Genomic DNA, 11,722 nt, shown 5'->3' with positions numbered 1-11,722 from the left:
GACATTTGGCCCGGCACAGTGGCTCACATCTGTAGTCCCAGCAACTTGAGAGGCCGAGGCAGGTGGATCGCTTGAGGCCAGGAGTTTGAGACCAGCCTGGCCAATGTGGTAAAACCTCGTCTCTACCAAAAAATACAAAAATTAGCCAGGCGTGGTGGTGCATGCCTGTAATCCCAGCTATTCCAGAGGCTGAGGTGGGGGAATCGCTTGATCCCAGGAGGCAGAGGTTGCAGTGAGCCAAGATCGTGCCACTATACTCCAGCCTGGGCAACAGAGTGAGACCATGTCTCAAATAATAATAATAATAATAAAAATAAATAAAAAGCTAGACATTTGACAAAGTAGGTCATGTTTTCCTTGTGGACAAGGTGGAAAAACTGCATGGCTGCAAGGATCATTTGCTAATGAAACAAAGTCAGCCAACCAGAGGGCTTCTCCAGCGCTCAGGCCTCAGCAGCCATTTCAGTGCTTGGACAAGGAATTGGGTGGTGGGCTGGTCAAACGTGGGTGGAGCACAGCTGGGAGAAAATGTTAATTTCAATGACAATGAAGTTGGGATCCGCAGGGTCTGTAAAGGCTGGGTGGAGGCCTCCTATTGGAGGGTCCAGTCAAGCAGCTCTAACTGGGAGATTTGCCCGTCAGCTCAGCCTAAGAACCCAAGTTGAAGGTACAGGAGGAAAGAATGAGGGGCTTTTGTCAGCACCAGTTCAATGTGGGTCAGCAGGAACGTGGTGACTCTAAGTAACCTGAGACAAGTAAGTGTCACATTGATCAAGTCATAATACCCAGAAGAAAGGATGACACAGTCCCACGCCAGCTAAGCTAGTCAGGTCACACATGTGAGAAGGAACCTGAAGGAAGGTCAGTGCCAAGTTGGAGCTTGTTCAGAAACCATGACCCAGCTCACATGTGGAAACAGCAAAGACTGTTTCCTCCAGTGAAGAGAGGATGGAGCGGGGACATGATCCTACCTGCTTCAGGGAAGAAGGAACACCCAGGAGGCAGGATGAAACACACAGGGAGATGGTTTCCACGCAGGGGAAGAAAGGATTCTAACCACGTGAGCCATCCACAGTTGGAATGGTCTACTCTGATAGGTGGTGACCTCCCTGTCACTGGAGGCATGCAAGCATAGTCTGGGGAACCTGCAGGTTGTTAGAGGCCGGAGAGTCCAAGCAGCAAATGCAAAAAGTCAAATGGCTCATTTGCATGGTCACTTCCAGCTCGGAGCCTGGCTCATCGTTGGTACGCAAAAATATTTATCAAATCAGCACTCAAGGGATTGAGCTACTCGACCAGCAACCCAGTCACTCCCAGGCCAGGCCCACGACCTAACAGGCAAGCCATTTCCTCCTCCTTCAACTGGCGGTGAGTCCGTCTTCCCTCCTCACTTCTTGGGGCTGTTCCGAAGATCAAATTAAAGGGGAATTTTATGTTGTGAAGATCACATTAATGGCTATGAATGTGCTTTGAAAGAAAAGTACAAGGCACTGAATAAAGGCCAGGGTTGTTTTAATTCTCAGCCTGGAATGGAAGTCTCATGGTGAGTGTATCATTCTCATCATAACAATTCTGACAAGAAAAGGACCCCCAAGGAATTTGGCTCCAGCCTTTTCAAGGAAAAGACACGGAAGTCTTCAAAGAGAGATAAAGTAATTTATATTTATATGAAGTCAGAAAATTCTCTTTTTTTTCTCCCAAGTTCCCACAATTTAGACTGTTAGAAGAACCATATTACAAAACAAACCACTCTAAATAAAGAGAGGAAATCAATCCCAGTTTAGGCCTTGTTTAAAGAAATCATTTCAAATCCCACACAAGAAAAACATACACAGGCCCTGATAAATGCTCTGGAAGCCGGCAGGGCCAGGGAGGAGCATGGGGCTGCCCGGGGCAGGGGACCAAACACACAGTGTCAAGCGGAAAAGGGCAACTATCTCTCGCAGCCCCAGGTGGCCACAGGATGGGCCTAGCAGGAGGGGCCTTGGCTTTGTCCAGACAGGGTGGGCACCCAGTGGCAGTGAATCTGGCAGGATGAAGGGAGGCCAGCAGGTGGGGTGAAAGGGAGAGCCCGGAGTCCTAGGGTTGGCGGTGCAGGTCAGGGCCTGAGACCAGGTAAACAGAGGAGGCCAAAGGGCCCTGCCTAGAAACCTCCAGAGAGCTTCTGCAATTTCAGAAGAAACCCAAACCCACCAGCTATAAGCCAAGGAGCATGGCTGGAAAGATCCCTGAGAGCACAGCTCTGCTCCCAGCTTGGGGGAGACCCTGGTTTCTCCACCTGCTGAACTCAGGTGGGAATACCAACCCCGAGGCTGGCCCCAGCAGGGTGCATGATCAATGCCTTTCTGGCTTCTTCTTCTTTGATTTCCTTTTCTTGTCTCTCTCCTCTATCTCCATGTGTTGCTCCCATCACTGGTTGAATAGCCATGGCCTCACCCTTTCAAAAGAAACCACTGAGCAACTGCCTGCATTCTCTAAATGTCTCCCGGTTCTGTCCTGGCCCAGGCAGTTTGTTCTCTCTGCTTGGAAACATCTCTCCTCATTCTAACAAATTCCTGCCCAGATGTCCTGTTCTCTGTGAAGCCAGTCTGAACCTCCAGGGTAGAGCAAGTTGCTTTCTCTGGATTTTCCCACCCATTTTATAGTTTATCACGCGTTGCCCTGGGCCATTCTCTTGTTTGTCTCCCTTGCCAAGCTGTGGGTACCTGGAGGGCAGGGAAGGATGTTTTACTCTTCAATAAATCTGGAGCTTATGGCAGAGACTGGGAGAATGGGAAGAAAGCAGCAGAGAGAGAGAAAAGGAAGACAGCAGCAGGTCTGGGTTGTGGGAGGCGGGATCCAGGACGGCACATGGAACAGAAGCTGTGTGGAGGCAAAGGATCTGAGGTCAGGAGCTCTGGACACAACTCTCCAGCAGCCTCAGCTCCCACGATGGCCCCTCCCTTAATGAACACCCCCATGGCTTCAGCACACGGTCTCCTCCCCATGGGAGACACTTGCCCCTCTTTGTACCTGTCATTTGCCCATCTTGCAAATTTCCCTTTTCCTCCAGGAAACCTGCCCTGACTCCAGGGTTACAGTGATCACCCTCAGATCTAAGCTTCCTCTGCGGGGGCACCTGTCTCAGCAGGGCATGGCCTCGGGTGGTCGTGAGCTGGGTAGATCTATGGTTGCACTGGGCATTGCTCTCATCAAAGATTCCCAGGGGCCCTTTGCAGAGAGCTTTGGTCCCCAGGGTCCCTGGTCAGGAAGCAGTTGCTCAGGGGAACAGAAGGGGTGGTCTTCCTACCCTATGCCCAGCCGGGGGTGGGGGTTCAGGCAGATGGCACCAAGCTCACTTCCCTTGTAACCCTGTTGTCTCAATGTTGTTCCCAAACACACTAAATTTGTCAGCAGCCACCCTGTGTTCCCTGTACCACAGGAATGCAAGAGGGTGATCATGTGGAACCCGGATGGGATGCTCAGCTGGCGACAGAAGGCTTGAAGACAAGCAATTAGAGTCCCGTTACAGAGTCCTGGTAATTTCTCCATGTCACAATCGATTCCTCTTGTTCATGCTAATTTCCTCTGCCACTAGAAATTTTTATTTCTCTAGCTTTCAGTCAAGATGTGTGCAAAAGCGGGAGATTGATATGCTGGGAAGGACGGTGGAAAACGTCTGGCATGTGGTTGACTCACTAAATATTTGTTGAAGTAATTAAATGAATGAGTGAATGAATGTAGAGGCCCTCTGGCTTTGTTAGCAGTCCCCCTCCCCCAACATCGTGATATCCTAACAGCATTCACCATTCAAGAAATTCCCTAGGCCATGCATGGTGGCTCACGCCTGTAATCCCAACACTTTGGGAGGCCAAGGCAGGCAGATCGCTTGAGCCTAGGAGTGCAAGACCAGCCCTGGCAACAAAGCAAGACCTTGTTTCTAAAAACATTTAAAAACTAGCAGGCGTGGTGGAATGCACCTGTGGACCCAACTACTAGGAGGCTGAGGTGGGAGGATCGCTGGAGCCCAGAAGATCAAGGCTGCAGTGAACCATGACCGCATCACTGCACTCCAGCCTTGGCAACAGAGGGAAACCCTGTCTCAAAAAAAAAAAAAAAAAAAAATTCCCTTGCATGTCTGTCTGCCCACCAGGCTGTAAACTCCTGCAGACAAGGCCAGTGTCCACGTGGACCTGCTCCCCCACATCCCCAGCACAGGGCACAGTGTGGGGCTAATGTTAGCACTCAGTAAGAATTTGAATTAACAACTTCATCAACTCATGAATGGCTCCAGGGAGGACAGAGTGGTGGACAGCCTGCTGCCTTGTGAGGAAAGATGTCTGGACTTGAGCTGTGGCTTGCTATTCACTGCATAGTCAAAGCCCTGGCCCCCTCTAAGCCTCATTTTCCTCACCAGTAAAACAAAGTGTTGATCTCTGAAAATCTATTCCTGACAGCTCCATGGCAGCTCTTACGCCACCAAAATTGTTTGTGTATCCATTTGTCTCTCCCTTTGGTCCGTAGCTCCTCAAGGTGAAAGACTATGAGTTTCAATTCAGTATCACCAATACCCAGTTCAATGCTGGCATCTAGGGGTACTCAGCAAACATCTATCCACCAAACATTCTAGGGGCCCAGATTTGCCAATGACCATCTCCTATGGGGACAAAGCCCCTCTGGGGACAAAGCACCTCTGGGTACAATCTTATCCTTCGTGTCATGCAAATAGAGACCTGCACTCACTTATTTGACTGAAAAGCTCTGTGCCAGGCCCTGAGCTTGGCGCTGGGGAGAGAGACGAAAGCAACTTGTCTCCTGCCCTCAGGGAGTTCGCAATCAGGCTGGTAAAGAGAGACAGTTATGGGCAGAGGACAAGGCTGCGCAGTAAACACAGACTAGAAAGAAGGCACTACCTCCGGGATACAGGCCTACGGGGTGATCTTAGTCCCTCAGGAAAAACTATTTCACCCGTGGGAATTCCAGAAAAAAATTATTTGCACTTGAAAAAGGTCCCTGGGTTTAATAGGTCATAGGCAATAGTCCATGGAAGGGTGAAACTTTCTCCCACTGGAAGTTTATACCCAGAAAAGCTGACCTTGGCCGGGCGTGGTGGCTGATGCCTGCAATCCCAGCACTTCAGGAGATTGAGGAGGGAGGATCTTCTGAGCCAAGAGCTCAAGACCAGCCTGGGCAGCAAAGCGAGATCTCATTTCTACAAAAAATACAAAAATTAGCTGGTTGTGGTGGTGTGCACCTGTAGTATCAGCTACTCAGGAGGCTAATGTGGGAGGATAGCTTGAGCCCAGGGGTTGAAGCTGCAGTGAGCCAAGGTCACACTACTGTACTCCAGCCTGGGTGAAAGAGCAAGACCCTATCTCCAAAAAATAACAATAAAAAAGAAAAAAAGAAAAGAAAAAAAAGCGAACCTTGAGTCAGAACAAAGCCTGCAGCCATGATGACCAGGGCTTGATTCCTTCTCTATGATGACTGATTTCCCTCACAGGCCCAGGTACCCAGGAGATAATGGTTTGGCTGTGTCCCCACCAAAATCTCACCTTGAATTGTAATAATCCCCACATGTCAAAGGCGGGCCAGGTGGAGATAACTGAATCATGGGGGCGGTTTTCCCCATACTGTTTTCCTGGTGGTGAATGGAAGTTCCTCTGCACAAGCTCTCTTGCCTGCCACCATATAAGACATGACTTTGCTTCTAATTTACCTTCCACCATAATGACAAGGCCTCCTCAGCCATGTGGAACTATGAGTCATTTAAACCTTTTTCCTTTATAAATTACTCAGTCTCAGGTATGTCTTTATTAGCAGTGTGAGAACAGACTAATAGACTAGGGAAGCAGCTCTGTGGTTCCATGTATGGAGGATGAAAAGCTAATAAATTGTTGGACCTGCCCAGACACTAATCCATAGAAAAATGTGGCAAGAGAGGAACTTCCTGCCAGGATGGTTTAAAGATCCAAGAGGAAAGAAAGTCCAGGAACAAGGGTCACCAAAATCATTTTGGGTCCTCATTCCTGCTGATCCCACGTGGTCCAGAACCACATCCAAACTTTCTATATCAGTTAGGGTTATTGTCATGGACCACAGAAACCAACTCTGGGTAACTTAAACCATAGGGACTTTATTAGAAGGACGTCAGGAGCCTCACATAAAGGAGAGTGACTAGGGAATGAGCCATGGGAGCTCCAAGTCTCAGGACATAGGCGGCAGGACACACAATGGCTCCCTCAGCAGAGGCAGCCTGGTCTGGGTTGCCCGCCCCAGCAGTGCCCACCAGAATCTGCAGCCCTTCCCACTCACCCTCACCCACTCGCTCAGGGGCCGTACTCAAAGTCCTGGGAGACAGCACCTAATTCCATGTTCCCCACAGTACTGGGGTGGGACAGGGAAGAGCCAGCTCACAAGTGTCCAAAGTGGAAGGTTTTTATCTGGATTTCCACCAAGACCATGCATTTAGGGAAATGGAACTCCCCAGTGGGAAACTGGGTTGTTATTAGGAAGGGGAGATGGATCCGGGCAGGCAAAAACATCAAATCGCCCTTGCAAGCTGCCCCTCTTAGGAAGCTTGAGGTTCTAACCCAATTGTGGCTGGCTCAGAATGGTCACTTAATATTTGCTGAATGTATGAATACATAAAGACCAAAACAATCTGTAAAATGGAGATGATAATAGTTTCGCCCCTTTTAAAGTTGTTGCATTAAGTGAGATAATCTGTGAAAAGGACATAGGAGAGAGTCCAGCATAAGCAAATGTTCAGCAAAGGCTGGTAATTAACATTCATTTCAGCACATCAGTGTAGGACCCCTTCGATGTGGTCTGTGTACAGTGTGCACAGGGCAGGTGCACAGAAAAGAAACTCAATCAAACGATGTTTATTAAGTAAAAACAGGAGAGTGCCCATTTCACATTCATCCATCAAGCAAGAATTAAAAAGTCTGACAACATCAAGTGTTAGTGAAAATACGAAGAAAGGAGACTCATTTATATTGCTGCAAATGCATGCAACTATTTTAGAGAATAAATTTGGCAATGGTTGAAGACAGGTATACTCTGTGAGCCAGAAGTCCCATTTTTAGTTATATATAGCCAAAGAAAAAATTCACAAATGGATACCTCAAGATACGTGTAAGAGATCTGAAGCAATCTGGCCTTCAGAGGAGAAACTAGGGGTGGTGAGGGTTCAATATAAAACAATATGAATATAGATGAATAAATTGTAAAATATAACACTTTAAACATGAAAATACTGAAGTCCACACATGCACATGGATGAATCTCACAAACAGCTTGGAGCTATATGATTGCAGGATCTTTCTGCACGAGGCAGAAATGATCACATATAAACCAAATATGTTCTAGTTTCTTAGGAAGAACGTGGAGTACATTTGTCTTTCAAACTTTCCATGAATTCAGAAAACGCTTCTGGCCTTCTCTAATGAACTGATAAGTTTTCTATTCTGTTTACAGTTTAGAGACAAAAGCAATTGGTAAATATGATCAGTTCTTGCAATTTTAAGTGAATCCTAAGGCAAGGGCACGGGAGAGGCAGAAATGCTGACATCCTTTCCTCATTCTGCTGGAAATGTCATGGCACATACTAGCAAACTGTCAGTCTTGATGGCCACAGTTCCCCTAAGCTCTACCTCCTAGCTCCTGCACAGTGGGCAGGGGAGAAGGAAGGCATTTCAAAGTCTTTCTGGTAATTCATCTTCATATCTTTCAACCTTTCTTCCTAATTAATCCAACTCACTCTTCAAGGCTCATCCCCAAATTTGATCAGCCTTAGAATCTGGCCACATATTTAAGTCTTACCTAATTCACTCTGTGGTTGCCCTCTAATTCCACTCAGATGGCTGTGCAGGGTGTGAACATTAGATGCTGAGACAATGGTGACTTTGTGATAAAGATGAGCTGACAGTCCCTTATACTGATACAGGATGTCATTCTGTGAAATGTCTGTAGAGCTGACCCGTGGGTAGGTAAATTGCGCATGTATGGTGGACACTCTTGATATGAAATTGTCCTGTCATATGCGTGTGTGTCATACATTGGTATGACAGCATACATATAATGGAGAAAGTCCAGTGAATTCAATTAGGATGAACTCTGGTTTCAGAAGCAATGTGGGAGGTGTGACAAAGCTGAACACTGACCATGGATATTCAAGAACTGTGTCCCTTCTCCAGCCCAAACCTGTGGCTCCCCCTGTGTTTCCTGTCTTTGAGGGATGGTTCCAACTATCATCTAATGACCCAGGCCAAAAACCTACAAGGTGTTCTAAACACCTCCTTTTCCCTCATGCGCCACACCTAATCAGGTGCTAAGGCACCTGCCAGCAGCCAACTGTGCATTCTTTTTTTTTTTTTTTTTTTTTTTTGAGATGGAGTCTCGCTCTGTCGCCCAGGCTGGAGTACAGTGGCACGATCTTGGCTCACTGCAAGCTCCGCCTCCTGGGTTCAGGCCATTCTCCTGCCTCAGCCTCCCGAGTATCTGGGACTACAGGCGCCTGCTAATTTTTTGTATTTTTAGTAGAGACGGGGTTTCACCGTGTTAGCCAGGACGGTCTCGATCTCCTGACCTTGTGATCCGCCCGCCTCGGCCTCCCAAAGTGCTGGGATTACAGGCGTGAGCCACCGCGCCCGGCCAACCATGCATTCTTAACATCCTGCACACCAGTCCCTTCCTCCCCACTGAAAGGTGTCACCTACCACTCAGACAACTACTAGCCTCCCAGAGGCTCACAGCCTTAATGCTTCTCCTCCTGTGCACCCTCCAAGTGCTTTGGAAGGCAGGGACTCTACTCACCCATATGTCTATAGGAGAAAACTCATTAAATCAGTTTGAAATGATACATCATCATGGTGACTACTCACCAATATGCCTATAGAAGAAAACTCATTAAATGAGTTTGAAATGACACAGATCAACATGGGATGATCATCATTTCCTTCCATGCCATACTGTACATTGAGCTACTGAGAATTTCTAGAATTTTCCATGCTGTTCATTACCTCTGAGGTTTTGCATTTGCTGACACATCTGACTGGAATGCCTGTTCTCTCCTGTCACCCACCTGAGGTCTTGTGAGTATGAGTATGCTTCAAGACAGCTCAAGACCATGTCCTTGACGGCACCTCTCTGACCCCTGCCCTGCAGAGGCATAGCCTTGTCCCCCAGTACCCATCAGCCTCCGCCATGGTCACTTACACACTGCCTGCCAACTGGACTGATGTCATTTCAGAATGGTCTGGTGTCCGATTTCTCTCTATCCCCTCATCCTCAGGAAATACTTGTTGAAGGTATTTTCTAGAAATTTAGGAAGTAAATTTGATAGTGTGTGGTGACTGGTTAATAATTCTTTCTGAATTCAGCAGGATTGGTCTTGCATGAGGAACAAACTAACCATCAGTTCAAACTCAAGAACCTAGAATGGAATAGATGGGAGTGAGACCAAAGAAGGTGGTTTAGAAGTGCCTGGAGGCCGGGCGCGGTGGCTCACGCCTGTAATCCCAGCACTTTGGGAGGCCGAGGCGGGCGGATCACGAGGTCAGGAGATCGAGACCATCCCGGCTAAAACGGTGAAACCCCGTCTCTACTAAAAATACAAAAAATTAGCCGGGCGTAGTGGCGGGCGCCTGTAGTCCCAGCTACTTGGGAGGCTGAGGCAGGAGAATGGCGTGAACCCGGGAGGCGGAGCTTGCAGTGAGCCGAGATCCCGCCACTGCACTCCAGCCTGGGCGACAGAGCGAGACTCCGTCTCAAAAAAAAAAAAAAAAAAAAAAAAAGAAGTGCCTGGAACAGACTGTTAACCAGAATCCTTTAGGAATTGGATGAAAATATGTACAGGTTCTCATCTAAATAGATGCCTATGTACCTATTGTTTCCATTTATCTGGAAGACCCTGACTAACACACCTGGTGCCTACATCCCCAGCTCCTGCAGGGATGGCCCTTCTGAAGATGGGATTAGTGGTGCAATGTAAGAGGCTAAGAGAAGACCCACAGTGACACTCCAGTCTCCTCTTCTCCAGGAATGAATACGTGTGTGAGAACACTCATCAGCCATTCTTACCCTGGAGGATTTGAAGAAAGAGCCCAGACAGGAGGCCTTGAGGATGGGCAAAAACTCTCTGAATCCCGAATCCACCACCTGCCAGCTGCTCAGCCCCAGGAACGTTACTTCACACCATGGGACTTGGTGGGACCTGGAGACCTCCCTTTCCAAACCCTCTCTCTCTTTCATTGACCATCCCCTCAGATGGGCTTGCTGATGGCCCTCCTTGGTGGTCTCTTTGTTCTCTGACTGTGGGAGCCACTTGCTCAGCACCTGGTCACCTCACCTGCTCCCCAGAGCCCTTCCACATGTCACTGTGTCACCCTTCAGGGGACACAGCCTTGAGGGCAGGGCAAGGACTTCTCCCGGCCCATTTCAGAGCTCTGCTTCCTCTTGGCCTTCCCTCAAAGACCCTGACTTTATCTGGGGGTACATTTAGCTCTCAGTCCCTCGGTCACTGAGCCTTGGGGAAGCGTGGGTCCTCAGCTCTCTACGGACTCCTCCAGGGCTCCAGGGAGCTGCTGCTCTAGAACCAATTATCCATAAGCCGTTCATCCTATCTCCTGACACACGTGCTGCGCATGTTCCCAGTGACTCTCTCACTACCTGGGGCCACAGGTGAGTCAACCAAAGCCCAGAGAGTCACACAGAGGACGGAGGCCCAATGAGGACCAAAGCCCCCGTCTCCTGATTCCTCATTTAGGCTGTGTCTCTTGAACCTGCCGTTGTCTCCCTGACCACAAAAAAGCACCATTTCACAGAAGCTCTCAGAATTAACATGCTTTTCTTCAAAGAAAGTTAAATGAGGACAATGATGCCTTGCCCACTCCCTCCCAGAGGTGTTTGGAGACTCTACTGAGATAATATGTATGACAGTTCTTTGAAAAGCATAAAGTGCAGTAGAAACATGAGATTCAATTATAGCCAAATCTCTGCTGAGTCACGTGGCAGCTCCAGCATGTTTTTTTAAAAAAAATTTAACCTGCAGGAGAAAATGAAGCAGAGCCTTCCTGACAGAGGATGCTAACACCTTGAGCATGAGGAAATCCTTCCATGCAGGGCCAGCTCCAAGCTAAACAGGGGAGAATTGTTTGGGAGGGGTTCTCGTTTCCTCCTTCCTACCCCCTCCCTCATGCAGAGCATTCAACAGGCGCTAATTTCACTTTATAAATGGAAACTGAATCACCGCATTCCAGGCTGGAAAATGATTGGAAATGAGAGTACGTCCGAGGTCAAGCCCTCGCCACTTCCTCCCTGGATAGGAAGTGGGCGCTCCAAATGGTTCTTGCAGGGCCCCTCATGATAAAAGGCCTGCTTTGGCCCTGGGCTGGGAGAGCTCTATGCTGTTTTCAAACCTCACTTTAAAGGAGAGAGAGGAAAAAGAAAAACCCGGATGTCCCTCTTTAAACAGGGATGTCAGCTCAGGAAGGAGGGGCCGTGCAGCTGCCTTTCTATGGGGGCTGTCAACAGCATAAGAATTGTTTAAAATCTGTTATAAACACAGGCATAGAGTGATGGTGAGTTGGGGAGTGGTGCACCCCCTCTCAACCTCTGCATAGGGCCTCTCAGGGCTATCTGAGCCCTGCTCACACAACTAGCCATTCCCCTGTTGTGAAGACACCAAGGAGACTCGGGCTTCTGGTGGACATATCTAAGTATGGTGTAGAGGTCACCA

The 11,722-nt window shown here is 48.4% G+C and overlaps 1 long non-coding RNA gene across 1 annotated transcript in view; it reads right to left on the bottom strand.

Moving 5' to 3' along the window:
• Positions 1-1,642: 1,642 nt before the first annotated feature.
• The window catches only part of LINC01804 (long intergenic non-protein coding RNA 1804), a 28,180-nt gene continuing 18,100 nt past the window's right edge, over positions 1,643-11,722 (bottom strand). Inside the window, exons 5-6 of the long non-coding RNA NR_110201.1 lie at positions 5,075-5,191; positions 1,643-2,862 (exon numbers count right to left, since the gene is read on the bottom strand). This is a non-coding gene — a long non-coding RNA (long intergenic non-protein coding RNA 1804). The remainder of the gene's footprint in view (positions 2,863-5,074; positions 5,192-11,722) is intronic.

Source organism: Homo sapiens, chromosome 2 (genome assembly GCF_000001405.40).
Source record: "Homo sapiens chromosome 2, GRCh38.p14 Primary Assembly".
Classification (NCBI taxonomy): Eukaryota; Metazoa; Chordata; class Mammalia; order Primates; family Hominidae; genus Homo; species Homo sapiens.
Note: the sequence above shows the minus strand (reverse complement) of the source record. Positions and strands in the feature narration are given on the sequence as shown.